The 26,467-nt window shown below is 45.7% G+C and overlaps 1 protein-coding gene across 3 annotated transcripts in view, besides 4 other annotated features; it reads left to right on the forward strand.

Annotated features, from left to right (window-relative positions):
- Nucleotides 549-723: a silencer, noted in NCBI's record as "fragment chr15:92396360-92396534 (GRCh37/hg19 assembly coordinates)". NCBI's record gives its function as "represses an EF-1alpha promoter that drives an FKBP-Casp9 reporter gene in an ReSE screen in K562 erythroleukemia cells {active_cell/tissue: K562}" and the evidence as "EXISTENCE:reporter gene assay evidence [ECO:0000049][PMID:32094911]".
- Nucleotides 549-731: a biological region, named in NCBI's record as "ReSE screen-validated silencer GRCh37_chr15:92396360-92396534".
- Nucleotides 592-731: a silencer, noted in NCBI's record as "silent region_6839". NCBI's record gives its function as "represses an Ori minimal core promoter by ATAC-STARR-seq in GM12878 lymphoblastoid cells {active_cell/tissue: GM12878}" and the evidence as "EXISTENCE:reporter gene assay evidence [ECO:0000049][PMID:35858748]".
- The window catches only part of SLCO3A1 (solute carrier organic anion transporter family member 3A1), a 318,728-nt gene continuing 293,387 nt past the window's right edge, over nucleotides 1,127-26,467 (forward strand). For 2 of the 3 annotated variants that reach the window (NM_001145044.1, NM_013272.4), the window contains exon 1: nucleotides 1,127-1,507. In NM_001145044.1, coding sequence (NP_001138516.1) covers nucleotides 1,328-1,507 — 180 coding nt within the window. In that variant the 5' untranslated portion in view covers nucleotides 1,127-1,327. Of the gene's footprint in view, nucleotides 1,508-1,722; nucleotides 1,830-26,467 lie in introns of those variants that run through there. The other variant, NR_135775.2, reaches the window with a different exon arrangement.
- Nucleotides 15,138-15,432: an enhancer, noted in NCBI's record as "tiled region #9082; HepG2 Activating non-DNase unmatched - State 10:DNaseD". NCBI's record gives its function as "activates a minimal TATA promoter and a strong SV40 promoter by Sharpr-MPRA in HepG2 cells {active_cell/tissue: HepG2}" and the evidence as "EXISTENCE:reporter gene assay evidence [ECO:0000049][PMID:27701403]".

A 26,467-nucleotide genomic window follows, 5' to 3' on the forward strand; every position in this document is an offset into this window, starting at 1 on the left:
TGAGCTTTTCTCTCAGCTTCCAAACGCTGCAGTTGAGAACTAGCAGATCCTATTGGTAGTGCCCTGTGGCCCACACTCCTTGGTAACGGTGAGAGTGGGGAGTAATTAGGAGCGGCTGCCATGGGCCAGGCATTCAGGTCAAGGCCGAGGATGGTGGCCAGGGCCACAGAGCCAGGGGACGGGTGGGGACCCAGCAGGCCTGCGGCTGGCCGCTTGCTGAGCGCTCCAGCAGCGGGGCCCTGGGCGGATGAAGGGCCGGAGAAGGCCCTCTGCTGGGGCCGCGGCGATCTTGCAGCGCCTGGACACCGAGGCTGGGGCACTAACGGTCCGTGGGGCTCCCGACGTATTCCTCTAACTTCCCCTTTCTGTCCTTTCGGTCTGGGGCCTTTTCAACACCCCCTGTGGCCGGGGACAGCTGGGGCAGAAACCGGCAGGCGGCAGAAGCCTCAAGCAGCTCTGACCTCTGGCACCTCCCCAAGACCCAGAGCACAACATCTGTCCCCAGAAATCCCCGGGCGGAGAAGAGCGCGCGCCAAGCCCTTCCTGGGTACTCAGTATTCTCCCTTCCTGGGAACAGCCTGCCCTCTGAGGCCTGGGCACCCGGGTTCCCGAGCGCCGGGTCCCAGCCCCGCGGGGGCGCCTCCGCACCCCATCTCCGCGCCCGGCGCAGAGCCGCCAGTCTCCGCCGCGGGGCCCCGTGCCCCGCAGCGCCACCTAGGGGCCGGGCGCCGCCTCCCGCCCTCAGGGGCACCCCCCTTACTCCGCAAGGACTCCGGGTCTCCCCAGTTCTCCCGGCAGCCGGACCCTCCCAGCCTCGGCCGCCGGGCCGCCCTCCGCATCCCAAGCCCGCCTCCCGTGCCTCCCCGGGGGCGCACCGGCAGCGAGGAGCGGCTCGGCGAGGGCGCGCAGCGGCGGCCCAGGCCCAGGCCTTGGGGCTGGGGCTGAGGGGGTGAGAGCAGGCGCGGCCGGCGGGCAAGGGGAACCGGGCGATGGCAGCGGCGGGCGGCCGCGGGAGGCGAGGCAGCGGCGGCGGCGGGCGGCGCGACGAGCCCCTGTGATTGGCACAGCCGGAGCCGGAGGAGGAGGCCAGGGGAGGGCGGAGGCGGGGGAGGAGGAGGAGGAAGGGGCGATCGCGGCGGCGGCGGCGGCGGCGAGGAGCTGTGCCTTCCACCTCTCCAGCCCCGGCAGGACGGGGGCGGCCGCCGCGAACCCGGGGCGGGGACAGCACGCAGCCTCGAGGCGCGCACCCCCGCCCGGCAGCGGCCCCGACACCCGGGGCGAGCGGGAAAGCGGCAGCGGCGGCGGCGGCGGCGGCGGCGGGGGAAGGATGCAGGGGAAGAAGCCGGGCGGTTCGTCGGGCGGCGGCCGGAGCGGCGAGCTGCAGGGGGACGAGGCGCAGAGGAACAAGAAAAAGAAAAAGAAGGTGTCCTGCTTTTCCAACATCAAGATCTTCCTGGTGTCCGAGTGCGCCCTGATGCTGGCGCAGGGCACGGTGGGCGCCTACCTGGTGAGTCCCCGAGCCAACTCCGCCGCGGGCCCCTTCCCCAGCCCGGCTCTCGAGCGGCCGCCTGGCCCGACGAGGGGGCCGCCCGGCGCTGGGGGCAGGCGGGCATGACCTCGGCCCGGCGTGGAGGTTGGCGAGTGGTGCAGAGGCGGCCGCCGGGGGAGCTGCCGGCCGGGGCTGCCAGCGAGCGGGTAGCGGGCGGGACCGTTGATGCCGGTAGCAGCTCGCGCGCGTCCGGCTGGGGCAGGGGGTGCCGGGGGAGGAGAGGCGGCGGGCAGGTGGGCGTGAAACTATTCCTCTCCCCCCATAAGAGCGGAGCGAGACGGTGAGTTCAGGGTTCTCCTTGGAGAGGAACGAAAAAGCGTCGGGGTTTTCAGGTGACCTGCACATGGGAAGAAAAACCAGTTAGCATCCTGCGTCCTCTACTCTCCATTGCATCCTCCTCGAGAACAAATCTATTATGCATCATTTTCTCCGGGCGCTTTCTACATCCGCCAATTACAGGGGGATATAACAGCTTAGAGTGAAATGCGCCCTAGTGTGGCCCTGGCCTGAGCCGGGGCTGCAGGGGGAATATTGCCACCCGGTATCCCTATAGCCCTCTTTGAGCGTCTGGGATAAAGTTACGGTACCTAGAGAGCAGCTGCGAGTTTGTGTAGTTCCTGCTATCCACTCTTAGTGCTAAATTCCCCATCGTGGTCTGTCGCCTACAGAAGGTTGCACCATTTTCCACAATGAATATGTATTTTATTTGCCTCCAGAAAGGGGATGTTAATGCTCAGAGGGCCCATGGGTGCGTAACATTTCAGAGGAAACAGCTTGTAATGACTCAGCACTGTCAGGTACCTACTTTGTCGCTTTCGCCTCCTCTGCTCAGGTGGTCGCAACTTGAGTTCCAGAGAGCGTGCTTCCACACCTAAGTACAGTCCTGTCTAAACGGGAAATTTTTTTTGAGAGTTTATAGTGTTAAATCATTACTTGGCTATTGACCCGCAACTGGAATCAAATGTCATAGACTTTGAGTATTCCTGAGCAAGTTTGATGGAGATAGAATTGGACAAGATTTTGGCCATTGAATAACCACATCCAGAGATAGAACCACGCGTATCCTGATGCTATGATTAATCCCTCATTCCTGGCCTTGGGGTAAAGTTCATGAGGGCCAGACGCTGGGGGCTGTATACCATTCATAAACTATCTCTTAAGGCTCAGGGCTCACTGTTAAAGGGAAATACAAGCAGTGCTTGGTCTCCGGTGTTGAGGAAGTTAGGTGGTTGTGAGAGAGGGGGTCTTCAAACTCAGCTCTGTTCCTGGGGTGACAGAATTTCAGGGCTTTTGAAAATCAAATACATTTCTGTTGCTCATTCTGAGACGAAAAGCGTTTACATCCCGGTCTCTGTCTTGTGCATTCGTAACTTGTAGACTGCAAGTGAACCCTGTAGTCAAAAGCATACCTTGTTTTCTGTTCTATAAAATACACTTATTGTGTCTATAGTTATAATATGCAGTTGCAGACAGTACCTATTAGCCCTTGGAATTTGAGGGATAGGGGATAATTGTGTTTTGGGAGTCAGTTTATCGGCACTTCCTTAGGGGAAATTTAACTGTTAAAATATTTAAATAAGTACATGTATTACAGAGATGCAAATTCACATTAATAAAATATATGTGGGTCTGTACTGTGACATATGCAAAGTACATAATACCTAACCGGGTCTATGTTTAGAAGGAGGTAATTAGTATATCAACAGCTGCCTCCACTTTAACGGTTTGTTTGCCTCAAACCAATTTTGCTCGGTAGAGTGCATTATTCATGTGTGGCAAACACCCGCAGAACTTTTCACCCCAGGAGTGATAAAAGCGTGGGCTTACTATTTTTCGGTTGCAGTGATCTAAGGATTTGACAAATAAATGAAGCTGGGCTGCAACTAGATGAATGGCCTAGCTCCTTTAGAAAGTTAAGAAGCCGAGTACTCCTGGAGTGGTGGACTTCTGGAGGCAGGGCTGGCCCCAGGAGATAGGAGGTTGACTTTAATCCCAGAACAGGGGAATGGCAAGCAGAGGAGGAATTCGGTCCACCTGGTGGCGGCATCCTGGCACTTCTAGCCTTCGCTGATGGAAAGCCTGGTTGGGTGGGGTAGGGTAACAGGAGTCAACAGGTGACTTGCAGAAAGCAGCTGGAGGCCCAGGAGAGGACAGGCCTAGGAAATTGAATTCATTTTGATTACTAGGAGTGGAGGCATAAGGCTCTAAGGGCTCTGCTTTGCCCGGCTGCCCTCGTCTTTGCCTTGCCATCGGAGCCTCATGAAAATAAATAGTTGGCTTGTCAGGGTTGACTGACGCAGCTTGCTATGGGCTTTGCTCTTCTGGGCCACTTCAGAGTTTTCTCTTCATCTGTTATTTGGGAGATGGGGAAAAAAAGTTTGCTCCTTCAGCCATGCGAGACTTCTCTGTGGATAATTGGAGAATGAAATATTGCAGGCTGTTTGCAGGAAAGGCACATTTCTTCCTTTTAATTCATCATGGCTTTCTTAGGAAACCTGAGACCTTGTGTCTGTAGGGGACCACAGGGCAGGGTCCACGTGCTAAGTGTGCGTTATACGTGATCCTTACCTTGGCAATCAGCCTGCCTCTCTAATGAGGCATTTCCAGATACTTGAGGAAGGACTTGCCTTGGGACAGTGCCAGTAATGCTCCCTTTCACAGAGAGGAGGGTGGTTACAAATTCTATGCCAACGATGTTATTTCCTATTAGATTCCCAGAGTCCACCTTCTTATTTCATCTCCCCAGGTGCCTTAAAATATTGCAGTTTCATTTCCTTATTTTTTTCTGAAAAGACAAATTTCTCAGTGTCCTGAATGACACTAGTGTAGGCTTCCCAACTGCAGAACTGAAGCAGAAGGTTGCCTGTGATTTAAGAAGCAACTTTGAGAAGGAGGACTCGTGTGTGTGTGTGTGTGTGTGTGTGTGTGTGTGTGTGTGTGAGAGAGAGAGAGAGAAAATGTGTGTGTGTGTCTGTGTGTGTGTGTATGTATGCATGTGTTTGTTTTCCACCAAGAACCTGCCCAGGGAGGAAACTCAAAGGAAAACTGTATTGTATATAAGGCCATCAATTGTTAGGCTAGGCTGGGGGCCTGCAACTTTTGCCTTGGTGTCAGGCAGTACAGAAAGACACTGATCCTGAAAGCCAGACTCAGTGATCTAGATAAAGTAACCCAGGTGCAACCTGGGCCAACTGTGGATTCTGAAATCTATTACGGTTACAAACATCTTAACTGGAAACCATGCTTCAGATAAACCAATAGTCACAGGGATGTTCCATCATAGTCACCTAAACCTCCTGACTGGCTATGACATAATTTTTGCAGCATAAGAGGAGAGGCCTGCTCGGTTTGATAGTCATTTTGTATGGAACAGAGAATGCAATTTAATTTTCTTCTACTTGGGTTTTGGCTTCGAGTGGCTCCAGTCCTGTTTGCAAGGATGTAACATGTGCTTAAGTCTTGGACTGGTTGGAGAAGATGCAGGCATATGAGAACTGCATGGGGAGAAAGTCATTTTGTGTGTGCCTATTGGTGTTTTGCAGAGACCCCCTAAAATGTTTTAAGCCACTCGCTGAGGGTAGCCCTGCATATAGAGGTTTCTGTGTGGTATCAAATTACTGAGGACTGGAGTAGATAAGGGTGTGTACAGGAAATTAAAGCCTCTGACACTTCTAGATGATTAGTTTGAGGCATACATACAAATACATTTGAATTTCCTCAGGTTGAAAACTGAAAAAAGGCCAGTCTAGTTTCCTGGGTGGGGCACAAAGGGAGTTCCTGTGAACAAGGGGTAGGTATTTCCCTATTTAGAGTTATAGAAAAATAAGTTTGAGGTTGTGGTGACAAAATAATGACATAGATGACTGAGTGTGGTTAATGAGGCTCTATCTCACTGCTTTGTAGTCACACTTTTTCTTTCAGCCTGAGAATAGTCAAGTGGGCTTGCAATTAATGGGTGAGGCGAAACTGCTAGGTTTGTTACTCCTTTTTTTTTTCTAAAGAAACATCATTTCGAAGATGAGTTTCTGCATATTCAACCCAGAAGCAGACAGCTCAGGAAACTGTCTGTTGACATTTTCAACAGAGAGAGACATTTTTAAAGTCCTTGTCAAATTACTATGATGACTAAGGTAACCGTATTTTATTTAATCAAATTATTTTATACACTTATGCTTACTCAAAGTGACAAAATTCCTTGCCATTTCCATAATTACTATGTAGCCCCAGGTAGTAAGAAATAAAATTACCTTGATTTTTTTTTTCCTTATAGCTAGATTCAAAATGTTAATAATTATTAAGGGAAAAAGGTGTTTCTGAAAATTCTTTTCAGCCAGGTTTGTGTATTTATCTTTGTTTGTGAGGGGGTTTTTGTTGGTGTATTTAACAATAGAAGAAACTGAATGAGTTGTAAAATGAGCGAGGGCTCTATCCTGCATTTTGTTAACTCTTCCCCTCATTCAATTTTAGACACCTTATGAAAAGGATCGCCAAGAGGCCTCTCTGCAGTGGCACCGCCTTGCTAATCAATTGCCCAGCATTTGCAGCTCATCTTGGGTGCTGCTGGAATCGTGTTTTCTGTTATGCTGCATGGGCTGCTTCTTGCACGAAGTCATTGGTGAACTGCTGGGCAAAGGCAGCCCCACCAACAGGGTCTCTGTGAATTTATTTTGCACACCTAAAAGCAAACTTTGAGGTGCTGCCTTGATCAGGGACTGTATTCTCTTAGCAGATTGGCCTGGATGAACAAGGGTAGTATTGCAAAAATGATGAGGATACAGCTGCATTTCATGCAGAAAGAGTGAAGAATAAAACTCCCTACTAGCTGCATTTCTCTGGCTTTAGTTCCAACTCGCGCAGATTTCACTACATGCATCATTTAATAAGCATGTTTCTCTAAAGTGGAGTCAAAGTACTTCTCTTCTGCATATGTACTCTATTCTGTACATTGCCGCATGCATTGCATATTTACATACGTGTTTGTGTACAGCGTTGCATACAATGAATATTGTATGCCATACTTTTTGAAGGTGCGAAGGGACATTTCAATGGTAACTTTGACTGTATGGTTGACACATGGATTTGGAACCGTTCTCCCCTGAAGAAAATCTCGGTATTTTCTTGCCTCTCGGAAATGCCTTTGGTAATCTGTAGGCCAGAAAGATAGCATCCTTACTCTTTCAATTCATTTTTATTTTCGGTTTCTATGTCTGTATCTGGAAAACAGATATAAACAGGAAAAACAGTGGAATCATGGACCTTGGCTCATAGGATAAATGAATTGATGTGATTCAAAGACACTTGTATTTTATGTAGCCTAAGTGTTTATGTGTTAGCATGAGACAAATTATTGCTTAATGGTTAAAACTCCAAGTTAAATGATTACAGTTCCAAGGTGGAGAAAGGCAAGTGTCTGTGGCAGCTGTCGCTTATTCGATGAGTGTTAGAAGACTGGGATTCATGCCTATGTCCTCCCCTTACCTGCTCTGTGACCTTGAGCTGTTTACTTAATCTCTGTGTACCTCAATTTTTCATTTTATAACTGGGGTTATAATAGTACCTACCCTCTGTTTTGCTGTGAGGATGAACTGAGTCAGTACATGTAAAGCACCTTGAACAATATCTGGCACATAGTGAGTGCCCAGGAAATATTAGCTATTACTATTAATAATAATATGGTTATGCATATTTACTGCAAACATAATAACCGTGTAGCCCCAACCAATGAGAAATAAAATTATTTCAATTAAACTTTAGTTTTGGTTTAGTGAATTGCATATTCAAGTAGTTTCCTATTCTACATGGACATTTTTGTCTGGGAGGTAAAAAGTTTTTAAGGGCAAGTAATAAGCTAAATATCAGTTGCTAATTCTGTTTATTCCCTTATAAATATAGCAATCCATTTCATCTTAAAGATGCTATAAAAATTAGTCACATGGGAGAGGAGCCCACTGCAGGAATGGTGATTCATGTTGATCATTTACAGTCCATGGGTACTTGAAGGAGGTTAAAGCAGGGCAGGCAGGACTGGCTGGGCGGGGCAGGTACCCTGATGCTTCACTTTGGGAGGTCCTCAGTATCTCTTGCTGTGGTCTGTGGCCACTGGGTGCTGAAGGCTGAGGGTAGGTGGAAAGAATGTTGGACTTGGAGTTGGAAGACCTGGATTTGAACTTAGACTTGCTATTTCCCAGCTCCTGGCAACTTCACTTACTCGAGCCTCAATAGCCTCATCTGAAAAATGGGGATAATGATCAAGCTTATCTTACAGATGGTTGTGAGGTTTAAACAAATAGTCATGTGATAGAGTACTTCTCATAGGGTACAGTATTCCACAGTTGCTTTAACAGTAATGGTATAACCCTGCTCGTTGACATTAGCACCAACAAAAGTCCCTCCCAGGGAGCTGAGGATTTGGAATATTGTGTGAGGCCAAGGCTTCTGTTTCCTAAACTGGTGATCTGGGCTCCTGAAGCTTGCTCTGCTTCACTGGCTGAAAGGCTGAGTGACCAATTCAAGGGAGCCCGAGGTGTCAGGAGGGCGAGGACAAAGGGACATATGTTGTGGACATATGCTGCCCTCCAGGCAGCCTTGTTTAAAACGTGCCTTCGCAGAGCTCAGCCTTGGTTGCCCAGAGGGGCTCAGGTCTCACGTCTTGTCTGCTGCCTTCACCTCGTGTTCTCTTGCAGTATTAAGTGGACTCTGGCAAGCAGGTCTGTGGGCATTTCCCCACGCTTGGTCTTTTTTTTTGGTTTCTCATAAGCAGAACAATGGACCTGTTCCTGCAACCTGGTTTCCCATCCCATGGATTCATCCATCTCGGCTTACGGACATACCTTCTGCACAACACCACTCCCGTTCCATCTGTAGTCTTAGAAGCAGCCTTCCCGCCCCCAGTCTGGTCACACCTGTCCTTGCGAAGGATAGAGAAGGAATTGGGCCTTTCTCAGTGAATCAGGTGGCAGTGTATGTTTTAGGTGAGTTTTTAGATTCACCTTCAAATGCCACAGGCTTCAGGAGAGAGTCTGTGCTCAGAAGACCTCAGAGCCCCAAAGCCGGGTCACTCTGATGACTTTGCCGAGGGAGGAATTGTGTGTAAAGCACTGAATCTTGTGCAGCCACAGGTGTGGAGTGAGCAAGCCAGGGGAGCCTTCATCCATGAGTTCCAGTGACAACACAGAGACTGGAAACATTCCCTTGGATGTACACAGAACCTCAGCAGTTGGTGACTCCCAACTTCTTTATTTCGGTTCTTCTTTGTGGTTTTGAGTCGAGTGCCTCTGAAAAGGGAAGCCCTTACTGAGGACTTAGCAGCTCGATTGTTTAGTAGAAACGGTGTTAACAGCCTCGTTATTTCCCATATGACTGGGCATTCCTCTTTAAACACGGAATAGTTGGTCATTAGTACTTTCCTGAACTTAGACAATAGTTGCACTTATTCCTCCTAATCAACACACATTGAAAATATTTAAAAGCAAAAAGTAACATAGGCTGCCATAAGCCCCACTTTTGTTGTTGTTGTTATTTTGAGACAGGGTCTTGCTCTATCATCCAGGTTGGAGTGCAGTGGCAGGATCACAGCTTGACGTCCCAGGCTGAAATGATCCTCCCACCTCAACCTCCCAAGTAGCTGGGACTACCGGCACATACCACCAAGCCTGGCTAGTTTTCTTATTTTTTTTTTTGGTAGAGATGGGGTGTGGGGTGGTTTCATCATGTTGTCCAGGCTGGTCTTGAACTCCTGGACTCAAGTGATCCACCTGCCTTGGCCTCCCAGAGTGCTGGGATTACAGGTGTGAGCCACGGTGCCTTGCCAAGCCCTACTTTTTTCAGTGGGGTGGGGCGGGTGGGGCAGGAAGAAGTGTGAACTCATCTTTCCCTTTTGCCCTCATGATTTCCTTTATAAATACCCCTGCCATGACTTTTCAGTACTCTCCTTTTCATGGACGTAATAGTCCAAGTGGCATTTTAAGTTATCTGGTAATGGACTCAGAGAGCCCACTGACTGTAATGATGAAGTCTTATTTTTTTATTTTTTATTTTTTTTTTGAGACAGTCTCACACTGTTGCCCAGCCTGGAGTGCAGTGGCATGACCTCAGCTCACTGCAACCTCTGCCTCCCGGGTTCAAGCAATTCTCCTGCCTCAGCCTCCCCAGTAGCTGGGACTACAGGCGCGTACCACCACTCGGCTAATTTTTTGTATTTTTTTTAGTGGAGACGGGGTTTCACCATGTTGGCCAGGGTGGTCTCGAACTCCTGACCTCAAGTGATCCACTCACCTCAGCCTTAGCATTGGTTTTGGTTAAAATCTTTGCCCTCTGAAAATTCTGGGAACAGGCTGTGCCCATAAACCCATCCCATAGGCAGTGATGGGACTACCACATTTGTTCTGCCAGGTTGTCCTTTGGGACAACTTTTGGGTGTCTGGATAATGAACCTGTTCAGATAGGCCTTGAGACTTTCTTGGTAGCTCTAAAGTCTCTTCTGGCTCTCCGTCCATTGATACCTAAATTTCTAGTTGTGCAGAGCGTGAAGAAATGAGCAGGGGCTGATGAGGCTTTTAACAAATAGTTCCGGAGAAAATAATAGAAGGCAAACTAAATCCCTGCTCACAAAACTACAGGAATTTGAGGGAGTTAGAAGTGATTATTTTTACCGCCATTTCTGCACTTGCAAGGTTGATGTAGGGAGAAGTGTCACAATGATGTTTTTCATTTAAAGACTACTGTAAAATATTAATGGGAATGGCTATTGTCTTTCACCCCCTTTGCAAGAGGCTTATGTAAAATAGGCAGGCTGTTTCTAATTGTTGAATTTGTCTCCCAACTTCAGCTGATTAGAAGGAGAAATTACCACCTTGAATATAAGCAGGTTGAAATTGGGAGAGCTGCCCTCAGCTGATTATATAAGCTATAAAATACAGCACCTAAAGTCTTATGTTTACTCTGCTAAGAATTCCCTTAATGAAGATGAAAATTTCTAAGCAGCATGGACCCATATGTGTTTATTATGTAAGATTCAATTATGGTGATCCAACCTGTAAAATAAACAGTGGGGCTGATTAATCTCTTTGTTGGCTTTTGGGTCAGAGAATTGTTTAAAGTAGATCCACAGAGCCACCTAGAGCTGTCCCCCTGGAACTCAGCTGGCTGTGCTGTCAGCACCAGCTCCCCTTCTCTCCAGGGGTACAGGAGGCTTGTCCTGGGTCTGTGGTCACTGTAGCTTTCAGGGTGGTGGAGGGCAGGGCCCCCTTAAGGTTGGCTTTCGAGGTTGCTCGTGCAGTGTAGTGGGATGGCCGTGAGTACAACCACTGCCGGTTGTGACAGACACCATCCTTTGGCCGTTTCATTTCTCAGAGTGCTGCTGTGATAGCACTTGGAATTTACTGTGTCTTGTGGGATGCTTTGCATAAGCAGCATGTATTCCAGTGTGGCACATCACACCATCCTCTTCTTGAAGCTATACATGCGTGGGGTGCACAGCACACCACACGGTCAAGTTCAGCTTTCCAACCTCCTCCTGAAATGTAGGAAAGGAGCATATTTTTTTGGCCGGAGTGATGATTGAGGAGAAGAAACTTAAAGGGAGCCAGGCCCATGAAATAGATGTAGAAGAGCTTCAGAGAAGCCTCTCCTGTCCTTATGCAAAAAACTGAGGGCAAGACTCCTGACTTATTGTGTGGCATGTCGTGTCGCCTCCCCAGTGCTGGTACATACTTTGTAGGTTGGGAGGCTTAACATGCCAGTGACAGTTTCTCAGCCAGCCAAAGAGAGGATATCTTTTGGAAACAAAAACCATAAATTAGCACCATTCCTTTACCTTTGCCAAGCTGTATACATGCATCAAGGAGATGCATATAAATAGATCAAAAAGCCAGTGAGCAGTTTTGCAGCTTTGCAGCTTGCACTTGATGGAAGCAGATGGGGAGGTTCTCCTTGCTGCACTAGGCTCAGAGTGGCACGTGGAGCCAGCAGTGCTTGGGCTAAATCCAAATACAACCTTGTTCGATTTCTAGAGATGGACATGTGCAATCGACTGTCCAACAGGCATATTGTTTCTGTGGCCCAGGGTGGGCCTGTTTTTAGGTCTTCTTAAGTATAACATCGTAGAATCTCTGCATTCATTGCTTTCATGTTAGGCAAAATCAGGGCACAGAATTGAGGCATTTACCCAAATGTGCAGCCCCACCCTCCGGAGCCAGCTCACATTCGCTGGCAGGTATAAGCAGGTGAGCAGCCAGGAAGGAAAGACAACTGATAGTTTTAATTTTGGGAATAGCAATTATAAACAAGTATAAATAAAAATATTGTTTTGGTGAATACTGGGGAAAAATCACTTCTCTTATTCTCTTTTAAAATGTTCCTCTTTTTTTTTTTTTTTTTTGTCTAAATAGGCTTAATGCTTTCTAAGAGGTACCCTACCTATCCTTAATGGAGTGAACAGATAATATATATACATTTATATTTATTTGCCTTCTGATGCTTAGGATTTCATTGGGGAATACTTTTGTATTTAAAAATAACAGTGACAGGGAGGTGATTAAAAATAGCTCAAGGGCTTGTGGCACCCAAGGCTATCAGGGGAACTATTTTGTGTGACAAGTGACACATTTAAATCCCCCAAAAGGAAGCTGAGTGTTCTCCTGTTGAGGTCTGTCGCCTTGGTGCTGCTTTTTGCACCCGGTGAGCCCAACAGTGATGGTCACAGGTGTTCATTTCCGCTCTGTCACGTCCTGGTTGTTTGTTTTCTTCCTACCTCCCTCCACTGGCCCCTGACCCCATCAGTGTCACGCCTCACCGTCCCTGACAGGATGTCACAGTCACATGGGTAGGGACTCTGGGAGTCAAGACCTAGGCCACTCCTGAGTGGGACTGTCACGGCAGGCATTTGCCATGGGCAGTGTCCTTTCTGCCCCCTCCGTGGTTGGCCACCCGCTGTCCCTATCCAGTGGATAATGGAGCTGAGCGTGGTCTCTTACAAGCCTTTCAGATCCAATTCCACCTTTCACCACAGACTGTATGTGATTCCTGCCTTCCTGGACTAATTCTGAGCTCTTTTGTACTTTATTTGGGAACAGGAATAAGTGGGGACTTGACATTTTATTTAAACTTTTCCTTTTGTAGAGTTCGTAGGACAGTAGGATTATTCCCTAACATTTTCAATATCTCAGATGCTAGACCAAAATTGGGTCATATTATAAGTGAGAAAGTGACTTTCACAGTTTATCTGTTGGTGAGGTGGACATGGGCTTGGAGGGGAGAGGGTGGATGAGATGGTAGGCATTTCAGAAGGAAAAAACCAGGTCTATTCATTAACTAGGGCTGCTGTAACAAATTACCACAAACTGGGTGGCTTGAAACAAATTTTTTGTCTGACAGTCCTGCAGGCCAGAAGTCTGAAATCAGGGCATCAGCAGGGCCGTGCTCCCTCCTAGACCCTGCGTAGAACCCTTCCTTGCCTCTTCATGGCATGTGGGGGTGGCCAAGGGTCCTTGGATTCCTTGGCTCGCAGCTGCATCACTCCCATCTCTGCCTTTGCTGTCACATGGTGTTTCCCCCGCGTCTCTCTCTCTTCTTCTTCTAAGGACACCGGTCACATTGGATTAGGGCTCACCCTAATGACCTCATGTGACTAGCTTACATCTGCTAAGTCCTCGTTTCCAAATTAGGTCACATTCACAGGCACTAAGAGTTAGGACTTCAGTTTATCTTTTTGGGGAAAACAAATCAATTCATAACACCAGAGAAGAAAAGAGCAAAGGATCCTAAAACAGTCTGTGTGTACAAAGAAAACAAAGGCAAACTCTGTCTTCTTAAGTGTTTGGGTGAGGTAGGAGGATTGTTGGATATTCGTAAGAGAGTCGTTCATACCCAAAGATATCATTTCAATCTTCACAGAAATGCGGACAGTCCCTGTTTCCTTTCTGTAAGAAGGTAACCATGTTACTCTCTGGGGTGGTGGTGATTAGACTTGCAGGAATGAACCTAGTTGGATGATTCGTTAGCTTCAAACACATCATTTTCTCTTCCTGGGCCTAGCCGAATGCTGGGATTGGACTGATAGTCATGTCATTTGATTAAGGAGAATGCATGTAAAAAAAAATCCTAGACAGATATGTGGGTGAGGAATATGTGTTTGTGTATTTACTGTGTGTATGTACATAGGTACTCATCCATGTTCCCATCCCTCACACCCAGGATTCCTTAGCAGGAATCAGGGCTGGTAAAATCTGCAGCTGGCTCTGTCTCCTTCCTGAAGCCCTATCCGATTCAGTGAGACCAAAAGAGACTTTATCACTGTGCGCTGTGCCAGCCAGTCTCAGATTTGGCCAGGTATGTATTAAGTTAGCACCAGACATCTGCATTCTAATCTCATCCATCTCTGTGGTTTTTTTGGTGGGGGTAGGAGTGATATGGTTCCCAGAATTTCTCTGCACAGGCTCCTTTTTTTAAAAAAAAAAAAAAAAGAAAAAAAAAATGTCAGCTTGATCTCTGCCAAACTAATTAACTTCGACAACTTCCTTAAGTGCTGCGAGCAATATAGAGTTGAGTAAGGCATGTTCTTGGCCCTCATGGAGTTGATTTATCGTGGGGGGGGAGATGACATGTTTATAATTTTTTCATTAATGACTCATTCATTAGGACGTTTCAGGTCCTGGGCCAGGTGGCAGCCAAGCCCTCTGGAAGCCTCATGTCTGGTCTAGTTGTATTACAATAGACCAGACTAAAAATAGAAGCAAAGCATTGGGCCAGGGTGGGAGATGGGCCTGGGTAGACTGGTCGGAGATATAAAATAATTTTCTCAACCTTGGTTGGGGATAGATCCGAGGGTAGCAAGATGTCAAGTGGAACCGTTGGTGAGAGGCTGGCTGCGGAGAGTCATTGGAGGCAGCATGTGATTGGAAACCTGGGATGGAGAAGGGGAGGGCTGGAAACCCAGGGCCACAGCCGGGCTGGGGCATGTCAGGGCTGGCACTGTGGAGTGCCACTCCAGTTAGCAGCGCGGAGGCTGTCGGCATCTCTCTCGGCCAAGCTTGGATCCCTCTGCCCCTGCTCCCCTGCTTTGAAGTGGTGTGGTGAAATGTGGCTGGAAGTCAGTCTGCTAGCCTGTGGAGGGACCTTCATCCAGGGCATGCTCAGACTCAGCTAGAAGCAAGCACAGCTTCCTCGCATGCTGAGGCCAAGGGGCTGAAGGATGCAGAATGCTTCTTGTACTGGAATGCTGTGCTCACCAGTATGGGTGCCACATGGGAGGGGGGCAAATATAGGGTCCTGGGCCTGAGGACAAAATGACACCTCTGTATTAAACCTCTCTTTTGCATATGTACAAATTAGATTCTTGCAAGATGAGCTAACATTAGGAAAGGTCCTATTATATTTGACTTTTTTTTTTTTTTTAAATAAAACCACTTTTGCTTGGCCTCGGATGTATCAGTTCTGGATAACTTTAAAGCTGGTAACAGAACAAACTGTGTTCACACACAGGAAATGTCTCCAAACAAAAAGTGGGTGTGCAGTTTACAGTTTAAAAATTGGATGAAGGCCCTTCAAACTTCCCCTCCTGTTCTCCTTGGGAAGAGCTTGGCAGGCTGCTGAGAGAGGCCACTCCTCCCTGGAATAGGTAGTCACCGGGGCCTGGGAAGGAAGGTAGCCTGTGAGTGGAGCTGCCTGGTGACTGGGCGGAGGCCCCGGGTGTTCTGGGGGCTGGGAGGCCTGTGGAGGTTTCCTTTCAGCTTCAAGGACTGTGTGAAAGGTTGTGTGAGTCAGGTCAGGAAGCATTTCTGCGCTGTTGCTCCAAGCCTGTGGCCGGCCGATCCAAGCGCTGGCTGAGCTAGCTGGAAAGCTCTGTGAGCATCCTATGTCTGTGTCTTTATCTATTCATCGCCTGGCTCTAGTGCTAGCTTCAACTTCAAGTTCGTGCTTTTTTTTTAAATTTTTTTTTGAGGGGATGGAGTCTCGCTCTGTCGCCCAGGCTGGAGTGCATTGGTGGGATCTCGGCTCGCTGCAACCTCTGCCTCCTGGGTTCAAGTAGTTCTCCCGCCTCAGCCTCTCTAGTAGCTGGGATTACAGGAGTGCACTACCACGCCCAGCAGATTTTTGTATTTTTAGTAGAGTTGGGGTTTCGCCATGTTGGCCAGGCTAGTCTCGAACTCCTGACCTGAGGTGATCCACCTGGCTCGGCCTCACAAAGTGCTGGGATTACAGGCATGAACCACCACACCCAGCCGGCTTTTTTTTTTTTTTTTTTTTAATATAAAGACTTTACTGTTTTACTTATTACACAAGGAATATATGTGGTGTTGACAATTTGGAAAATACAAATAAACATAGATAACATAAAAAAAAATCCATAATTCAGAGAACCTGGAGATAAACTGTAAACATTTTGGCGTGAGTCCTTTAAGTCTCTCTCCGTCTACCTGCATTGATGCGTGACTTCCAGGCCCACACGGTGGTAAAGGATGTGGGCTTTGGGGTCTTTGAAGTCCATGTCTGGGGCTGGTTAGTCTTGTGTGGCTTTGGGCATTTAGCTTTCCCTCTCTAATTCTCAATTTCCTCATCTCTAAGATTGGGATGATATTTATACTTTCAATGATCTTGTGAATACCAAATGAGAGAATCCATCCAAAGTACTCAGCCCGTGCCTCTCTGCAGTATGTGCTACTGTCGTGATTTTTAAAAAGTAATAAAATTGGATCTCACTATAAATTCTGTTTAGGAACCTACTCTTTCCTCTAAATCATTCTCATGGCTTTTCTGTAACATCAGATGTTCTTCTCTGCTGTCATAGTTTCAAATGAAAAATGACCTTATTGTTTTTATAAAACAATACATATTCATCATGAAGAAAAGTTTATATAAAAATGTTTTTAAAAATTCAAAATCCCCCATTCAGAAATAATCATGACTGGTGGTGGGGTTTGAGAAGTGACCGTTAACCGCACCTTCCTCTCTGCCCTCACTCTAGCCCCTTCTAATTAAGAATCCACTGGGAGCCGGGCATGGTAGCTCGTGCCTGTAATCCCAGTACTTTGGAAGGCTGAAGTGGGAGGATCACTTGAGCTCAGGAGTTTGAGACCAGCCTGGGCAACATAGGGAGACCCTGTCTCTACAAAAAATTTAAAAATTAGCTGAGCATGGTGGCTTATGTCTGTAATCCCAGCACTTTGGGAGGCCGAGGTGGGTGGATCAGTTGATGTCAGGAGTTTGAGAACAGCCTGGCCAACATGGTGAAACCCTGTCTGTACTAAAAATAAAAAAATTAGCCAGGCATGGTGGCACATGCCTGTAATCCCAGCTACTCAGGAGGCTGAGGCAGGAAAATTGCTTGAACCCAGGAGGCAGAGGTTGCAATGAGCCAAGATGGCGCCACTGCACTCCAGTCTCTGTCTCAAAGGAAAAAAAAAAAAATTAAAAAATTAGCTGGGTGTGGTGCTGCATGCCACCACCCAGTCTCCCAGATATTTGGGAGACTGAGGTGGGAGGATCACTTGAGACCAGGAGATTGAGGCTGCAGTGAGCCGTAATAGTGCCACTGCACTCCAGCCTGAGTGACAGAGTGAGACACTATTTCAACAACAACAACAAAGAAAGGATCATTTGGGAAGTAGACACCCCAGCCAGCCACAGGGGTTTAAAACATCATCTTGGGGGTTGTGTGGAAAAAACTGCAGTTTGGATTGGAAAACTCTGTTTGTGTCCAGATTCAGGCTTCTTTTCACTACTTTGTTCTCAGAATAAAACTCTTCCAAGGCAGAACTGCAGGCTTTGTCCCTGCAGATGCTCACCTGCTCAGGTAAGCTTACCTCCTGGAGGAGCAGAGAATATGTGCATCCTGAGGGCTGTTCACAGAATTGGGGGAGAAGGGGGTCAGGGCAAGCTTGCCAGCTTCCTGCTTGCAATTCTGTGAATCGAGTAAGTTGCCAATCCTTCCCTTTGGGGAGGATTGAGTGGGGAAGTTAGAAGAGCAGATGCTTTTTCTCTGTTAATTTCCAGAAGGTGGACGTTCGTCTAGTCTATATCAAGGTATGAATTCTGGGGAAAGGGAAGAAGAATTTCTTGTTATTATTAGGAATATATCATTTTAGAGTTCTTTCTATTCTTATACATGGAAAAATGACTGGCTGAGTAGATATACTTATAAAATGTATGTTCTAAAAATAGCAGTAAGTTTAATTTCACTGAAACTTAACAGAAGACTTCAGTAAAACTGGAAAGAAGTAACTATCTTTTGCTACTAAATGTTGCTGTAGAAGTGTCCAAGGCCAGCCTTATTTTTCCTCCCTTAGAGATAATTTATTATTGCCTATAGGTTAGATATATGAGGAATCTTTTCTTAATATTTGACAGATAATTTAATTCTGATGTATATTACTGCTGTGTGATGTGTGTCATAGTTTTTGGAACTGGATGTGTATTTTCAATCAACAGATGCAATTCTTTATTAGTTTTGGGAGAATTTCTTTGTATTATCTCTTCAAACACTGGGTTCTATGCAGTGAATTCTCTGCTGTAAGGCACCAATTGTCTGTATGTTACATTGTCTTTGAACTCCATAGTTGTCTGTTTTGCTTCGATTACTTGAATCCCTTTTTTTTATCTGCATTCACCATGTTTATTTTTAGCTTTCCTCTAGTCAGAAAATTGATTTTAAACCATCTTTCTTTAGTCCTGTGTAGATTCTGTTTCATATCTTTATTTTCTAGGGTTGGCTTTAGTTTTCAACGTATTTCTTTAGATCTACAATCTTTTTTTTTTCCCTTTTTTAGATGTTGTCTTTGGGTTCTTGATGTATTGAACTCATATTCTTATTAAGTTCTATGGCTCAAAGATCTTTTGGGGGGTATCTTTCTCTGGCTGAGTTACGTTTTCTTTTATTTTGAGTTCTTTGTCTTTGACACCTACTGTTGCTTTCTTGCCTTTCCAGGAGTCTGTGTTTAAAGATAACCATGCCTTGTGGTTTTTCATTTTATTCTTGCTGAAGTAAATCAGGCTATATCTTTCTTTGATTTATTTATTTGAAGGCTATCTTTTTTCTTCTTGCTACCAAGCTGAAGTTTGAAGGCTGGTTTTTTGTTTCTGTTCATGCTTTCTGTAGCCTGAAGACTTATGAAATGTCTTGGGCCAGTTGAGCTGTAGCAGGTCGTATGCTGGGTGCTGAGTAGGCTTGGCTAGATGTGGTCTTGGCAGCTTTCACTTGTGGGATCTTTTGAAGGCCCTTTTAAGTGGGTTCGGTCTTCCTGTGTGGGGGGCACACACTGCACACCCTCTGGCAGTATTCTGTGGCCTCGGGTCAGCCTTGGGTTTCACGTTGGACTCCCAGAGTCTTCATTCCTTGCAGCAGAGATGATCAACACCACGGTTTATGCATCATCTCATCCTTTTCTCCCCAGCAGATGTTTTCTCTCTTCCCTAGTCAGAAGAAGAGAATATAGGGATAACTACTCAGGTGTTTTTTTCTAGATGTGGTGATATTGATGAAAACTCTCAGAATGTTTATTTATTCACTGTTTTGTCTTCCTGAGGGTGTTTGACTCAGGGCTCTGAGCCTTGCCACACTGGATTCTTTTTCCTTTATTTTATTTCCCAGGCACCTTTTGACTTTATGACACTGGGGTGTGCTCATTTTGTTTTTTTTTGGTTTTTTTTTTTTTTTTTTTTGGCTGATAAGTGTTTTATTTCAGGTTTAATTTTTTTTTAATTCAAATTTAGGAAGAGTGAGATTTTATACAGAGGTTTAATTCTACCATTTTAACTGGGAAATGTCTAGCAACATTTGAAAAGATTGTGTAATATTCCATTGTATTCCATTTCCCTATTTCTGTATGGTAGGTTGCTTATGGTTTTGTTTTGCTGATACAAATTCTGGTTGCTCATTTCTTTTCATTGTTTTGCTTTTCAGAATTACAAAATGGGATGATGAGTTCAAGGGATTGGTCACAAAAGATGTGGGGAGTCAAATCCTCTGTGGAAAGGGGAATTGCCTTCGTCGAGGATGTGGTGTGTGCCCGGGAGGACACAAGCAGTCTGATCGAACTCTCACACAAATCCCATGCAGTAGATGTCATTATTTCTCTTTTCCGTATAAGGAAATAGGGCTCACTTCTAGAAGTTAAAGAATGTGCTGGATGGGCACGGTGGCTCACGCCTGTAATCCCAGCACTTTGGGAAGCCAGTGCGGGCAGATCACGAGGTCAGGAGTTCGAGACCAGCCTGGCCAACGTGGTGAAACCCCTTCTCTACTAAAAATACAAAAAAATAGCCGGGCATGGTGGCAGTTGCCTGTAATCCCAGCTACTCGGCGGGCTGAGGTAGGAGAATCACTTGAACCCGGGAGGCGGATAGGTTGCAGTGAGCCGAGACCATGCCACCGCACTCCAGCCAGGGCAACAAAATGAGACTCCGTCTCAAAAAAAAAAAGAAAAGAAAAAAGAAGAAAGAAAGAACGTGCCCAAGCCCAAGTTGGCACAGCTAGTGTTTGATCTTGAGTCTCTTGGTTCCAGCTCTAAATTCCCTTCTCTTTGATCACACCACGCCTTGAAAAAATTCGCAGCTGAATGCTTCAGTGTCTTGAGTGTGTTGATATTATTTTAACATGTTACCACCTGTGAGAGAACACTGTTCTCACTCTCTCTTTTAAACTGAGGGAAAAGGTAATGAACATTGAACATGACTTTACTGGGACCAGAGAATAACTTCACCAGGGCCAGAGAATCTGTTCTCTGTTCCCTTCCTCCCCTTTAGGGCATGGTGGCGTCTGTAAGTGACAAGAGTGCTCTGAAAAAGACCTGTTATACATTCCAGGGCTGGTCACAGGGCCCCTGCTCCTGGCATGCAGCTACCTGCGTGCTCAGCACTCACCTGCGTTCCTGATTTGAACAGCCAGCCACTCAAACACATGGGCCATTATGTAATATTTCTGCCATAACAATTCCCACAAAATTACAGAGTGTTCTGTGTCAGTGTGAACAGACACTCTAATTAGTGTTTACTTGTTCAACAAGCGATCATTTTTCAAAATTTTAGTGCAAAATTACATTTACCTTATTCAAAAAGTATTCCACAGCGCTGAGTAACATGTTGATGTTTGCCAAAAGATGCTGATGGGAGAGCCATCTATTTACTGTGGGTGTCAGTTTTCTCCTCGAAAACAAAAGTGAGTACCATGCCATCTTACATGTGTGGAGTGTTCAGCCAGTTTCAGTGTTGTGGGATTATGTCATTTCAGACTGACAGCAACCCTGGGACATCTGTGGGGCAATTTTGCCCCACTTTTGTTTTTAATTCTATTATGACGAAACAAAAAAGTAGAAATTATAGTACAGTGGACACCCATGTACTCACCACCTAGGACTGACTAGTTGTTAAGATTTGACACATTTGCTTCATATATACAGCTACATTCATACACACACACACACACACACACACACACACACACATACATACATACATACTTTATTTCAGGACCATTTTAAAGTAAATTATAGAAATGATGACACTTCACACCTAAATACTTCAGTATACCTCTTCATAAACTATGGTCATTTCCCTATAAAACTGCAACCCTACTATCACTCCTAACAAAATTAAGTAGTCCCTAATTTCAATTAATACTTCCTACATATCAGATTTCTCCAAAATGTTCCCAAAATATCTCTATCGCAATTGCCATTTCTAGCTCTATACCTAGCTTTCTCTGGAACTATTTATTTGTTTATAAACAGCCACAAACCAATTCAAGATCATACATTTCATTTGTTCTATGATTTTGTGTCATTTCCTTTGTTTTTTTTCTTTATTGTGGAAAATTACACATAAAATTTACCATCTTAATCATTTTGAAGTGTACAGTGAACTCAGTGGTGTAGTAGTCCCCCTTGCTCTTGGGGGATATGTTCCAAGACCCCTGATATGGATGCCTGGAACCTTGGATAGTACTAAATGCTATATATGATATGGTTTTTCCTATATGTATATACCTATGATAAAGTTTAATTTATAAATTAGGCACAGTAAGATTAACAACAATAATAATTCAACATAATTATAACAATATGCTGTAATAAAAGTTATGTGAATGTGGTCTCTCTCAATACATCTTACTGTTGCTCACTATTTTCTGACTGTAGTTGACCTCAGGTAACTGAAAACTTGGAAGTGAAACTCTGGATAAGCGGGGACTCCTACATTAAGTATATTCACAACGTTGTGCAACTATCACCACCATCTACCTCTGGAACTCTTCTTCCCAGAGGGAAACTCCATACCCATTAAAGATCACTGCCCACTCCCCTTCCCCCAGCCCTGGCCACCACTGTTCACTTCCTATCTCTATGATTCTGACTACCCTAGGGCCTCATATACAGTGTTTGTCCTTTTGCAACGGGCTTGTTTCAGTCAGCATAATGTCCTCACAGGTCATCCAAGTTGGGGGCTGGGTCAGAATTTCCTTCCTTTTTAGGCTGAATTTTCCATAGTATGTATAGACCACGTTTTGCTTATCCAGTCGTCTGTCGATGGACACTTCCGTTGCTTCCACATGTTGGCTATTGTGAATAATGCCGCTCCGATCATCGCTGTAGAGCTTTCATCTGGAATAATTTCCCCACTTTTTCCCCACTAGGTTAACTTTTTGAAGGGGTTGGGTCAGTTGTCATTCCACAGAACATCTTCTGTAATGTTTCGTATTCTGAATGTATCTGATTATTTCCTCGTGGTTTCATTTAACTTGTCTCTTTTCTCTGTATTTCCTGTGCAATGGAAGTTAGCTTTTGCTTGACTAGATTTAAGTTTTGCTTGATTAGAGGAGATAATTGGTGAGGAATTCTTTCAAGTACATTGTATTAAAACACCTGGTTGACCCCTGCTCATGGTGCTAAGGCTGACCATGAGGTTGAGATGGGTGGTTACATCCACACCACTCCACATGAAACAGACATTTGCCGCCTTGAAGTTGGCAGACAGTCTGTGTTGGTGCCCTTTTAATAGATGAGTCAGTTGCTGAAATTCTGAGTAGGCTCTGACTTGGTTACCAGTGATCTCTACCATTTACTGAGCATCCGCTGTGTGTACCTGACACATGTCATCTCATTTAGTCCTTTAGGGGCGGCAGTGTTGTCCCACATTGTAGCTCATTGTAGGAGATCCTAGTTGCACTTCTGTTATGAAGCCACTCCTGCCTCCCTTTCCTCTGACCCTCCCCTCCCACTGTGGATCATGGTCTCCTCCCCCAGCTCCATGGCATGATGTTGGCACTGCCTTTCCAGTTTACTCTCTCCACAGGGTAAAAACTGGACTCTGGAGCAAGAGACTGCCTGGATTCCAATCCCAGCTCTGCCCGTCACATGTGACGTAAACCTAGGTTGGTTCCTCCCCCGTCAGTTGGAGATGATTAAAGTACCTGCCACAGAGGGCTCTCCTGAGCGTGAAAGGAGTTACTGCCTGGGAAGCACTTGTGTGTGATAAGTCTTAGCCTCATTCTCTGTCATTCCTTCCATCGGTCCCTGGAGACAGTTGCTCAGTCCGTGTTTTGCTTTGAAGGTTTTGCCGTAACTCACAATAGAGAAACACAGGATGACTGAAAATCAGGTAATAAACATGAAGCAGTGACAGTGATTCTAGAGCAGGGGTTGGCAAACTATAGCCCATGGGCCAAACCTGGCCTGCTCTCTACTTTTGTAAGTCAACTTTTATTGGAACACAGCCATGCTGATTTATGTATATATTATCATCATCATGTGACAGAAACCATATTGCCTGCAAGTAATATGGCCTGCAAAGCCTAAAATAGCTGCTATCTGGCCTTTACAGAAAAGGTTTGCTACCCCTGCTCTAGAATCTTAAAGAATTCTTAGAGTTGTGGTCTCAGATCTCTAGATCCCAGAGATGCCACCTCAGCTGAGCGTGGTGGCTCACACCTGTAATCCCAGAACCTTGGGAGGACAAGGTGGACAGATAGTTTGAACCCAGGACTTCTAGACTAGCCTGGGCAACATGGTGAAACCCCTTCTCTATTTCTATAAATTAATTTTTAAAAGCCACCTCCTGCTAAATTCTTGTCTTCAGCTTTCACTCCCAGGAGTGGCATTGCCCAACCTTCCCAGTTGGGAAAGTTCATTTAGTCTGCCTCTAAAGGACCAAATGAGATAAAGTGTGTCAGGTACACATAGCGGATGCTCAATAAACGCTAGTGACTGTGATCACTGGTAACCAAGTTACAGCCTAGTCAGGATTTTGGCAAGTGCCTCATCTGTTAAAAGGGCACCAACGCAGACTGCCAACTTCAAGGGAGCAAATGTCTGTTTCACATGGAGCGGTCTGGATGTTACCACCCATCTCAATCCCGTGGTCAGCCTTAGCACCATGAGCAGGGGTCAAGCAGGTGTTTTAATATAAAGTACTTGAAAGAATTCCTTACAGGTATCTCCTATAATTAAGCACAAATTAAATCTAGTCAAGCTACCTAGAGCTGGAGGCTGACTTCTTTATCTGAGCAGGCCCCTCCTGCAGATCTGAGGCTGGCAAGCATGGGCTCTGGATAAGTGGTAGGTTCCGGAGGCCTCTCAACTGGAACTGTTCTCTTTACTGTGAGTCTTTTCTCCCAGCCAGTCCACTGAGTAGGCCTGCTTTTGTTTTGCACAGCACCTCACAGGTGACCCAGCAGGGAGCCCTGGTGCGCTCTTCTCTGCTGTCCAGCATGGATGTGGCCTATGGTAGAGGGACTGCCCTGTGGGATCACAGGCCTTTTCTGTATTCACATTGCCTGCCCACACACACTAACCATCACAGCTCATTACAGATATTTGACTTTTGCCGATATGTTTGGGGTTCTGCTGTTTGACCCAAATGGATCTGATTCAAATCCATTGAATGAGAAACCTCAATACCATAAGTTTCTTCTGCATTTTCACAGAAACAGAACACTTTCCTGAAGTCATTCTCTATTATGTGCAACTTATGTGACTTGATTTATTTCTTGATCTTTAAGATAGTTTTTATTGATCTGAGGCATTAAATTGAATTCTGATGTGAAAGAATCTTTTCCCTTATATTTTATGTTGTCTCCTAACCACTTAAGTAGCTGTTTAATCTTTTAATTAAGTTGGTGTGAACCTTCTTCAAACGATGATGGCTGTTCTCCTTGTATATATTTTAAAATTTTGATATCAGACCTCCCTCTCTAATCTCTCTTAACCTTAAAAATTTTAAGATGTTCGTGTTCTTTGAAGCTACTTTATTAATTCAAGACCTATTTATTGAGCTTCTGTGACTTGTCAGGCACTCTTCTAGATACTGGGGACCCAGCATATCAAAACACAAGAAATCGCTATAAAGACGCTTACGTTGTGGTACTTTTGCTCATGACATCACTGCAAGGTTTGATATTCTTCAGAGAGTGGTATGGTGGCCGAATGTAGAAGTCCATTCAAGTCACAGAGGAGAAAATTGAAGTGGATCTGCAGAAACAGAGGCTCCACAGCAGTGAAGAGGAAGGGAGGAAATTTTAGGGAAGGCCTTTGGGAAGGGGAAGGAGGTAACTAACTCCCTTGGCTGGAAGGTCCAGTCAGGTAAGGGAAGGTTTTGAAGGCTAGGCTCAATCTAGTGGGCATAAAGGAGTTACAGGTTTTTGCAAAAAGGGGTGTGGTCTATAGAAGGAGGCGTTTTAGGAAGCTAGTAGCTCAATGAACCTACAAAAAAATCTGAGACCTGTAGTCTGATCTAAGCCTGCAGCCAAAAGTTAGGGAGTCAGGTGTTTGGATGGAGCCACCCTTCCAGCTCTCCATTTACCAGGTGATGGGGCCACACAGGGAGCATCCTGTGGAAGGACTAGAATCTCAGGGCTTTCCTTAGGTGAGGCTGCACCGGAACAGAGAGAACTGTGCTGACAACATGAGGCAAGATCTGGTATCCCAGAAATGAAACCATCATCAGGTGGCATCTGAAGTAGGGATTTAGGCCTTTTTTTTTTTTTTTTTTTTTGAGACGGAGTTTTGCTCTTGTCTCCTAGCCTGGAGTGCAGTGGTGCTCAACTCACTGCAACCTCTGCCTCCCGGGTTCAGGTGCTTCTCCTGCCTCAGCCTCCCGGATAGCTGGGATTACAGGCACGTGCCACCACACCTGGATAATTTTTGTATTTTAGTAGGGACGAAGTTCACCCTGTTGGCCAGGCTGGTCTCAGGTGACCTCAGGTGACCCGCCCACCTCGGCTTCCCAAAGTGCTGGGATTACAGGCGTGAGCCACTGCGCCAGGGCGATTTAGGCCTTTTCAGTGGGCTCCAGGATTGCAGATGTGTTCACTGTCCTTGGTAGTAGCCAAATGCCATCAGAAGAAATTAGCTCATGGACTGTTTGCAGGGCATGGTGTCATCTCATGGTCTTCTAAATATTGGCCCCTACAGCTCAGAGACTAGATGATGGGACACTTGAAGCTTCCGCTCGGTATGCAGACAGTGTTAAGAATGGCATCGTGACAGGGACAGATCAGCATTCCTACCACACTCTGTTATGTTTTAAAATCAGATTCTCATTTTATGTCAAACCATCCAGAACTGTCATCTCTTAGCCGTCTTTCTCACAACTCAAAGCGTAGATTTTCATGCCCAGAAAAATTTTCATTCACAGACATCTAAACAATGAAATACTTATAGTAACTGAAAAAGTACCCATGCTTCATCAAAAGGACCTTATGCTTAAAGAGAGAAATGTTGCATTTCTTGGAGATTTTATAATTTTTTTCTTACACTTAGGAAATAAGAATTTGGGCTTTTTTTCCTCCTTACCAGTTTTATCCATTTCTCTCTTGTGAATAGTTGCAGTCATTCTTCCTGGCATTGAAGTATTTCTGAAATAGCTCTTCTTATCTAGGCATAATTACAACATATCTATGAAGTACGTGACTCTATTTTGAAAATCAGCCTGTGA

Source organism: Homo sapiens, chromosome 15, assembly GCF_000001405.40.
Source record: "Homo sapiens chromosome 15, GRCh38.p14 Primary Assembly".
In the NCBI taxonomy this organism is placed as follows: Eukaryota; Metazoa; Chordata; class Mammalia; order Primates; family Hominidae; genus Homo; species Homo sapiens.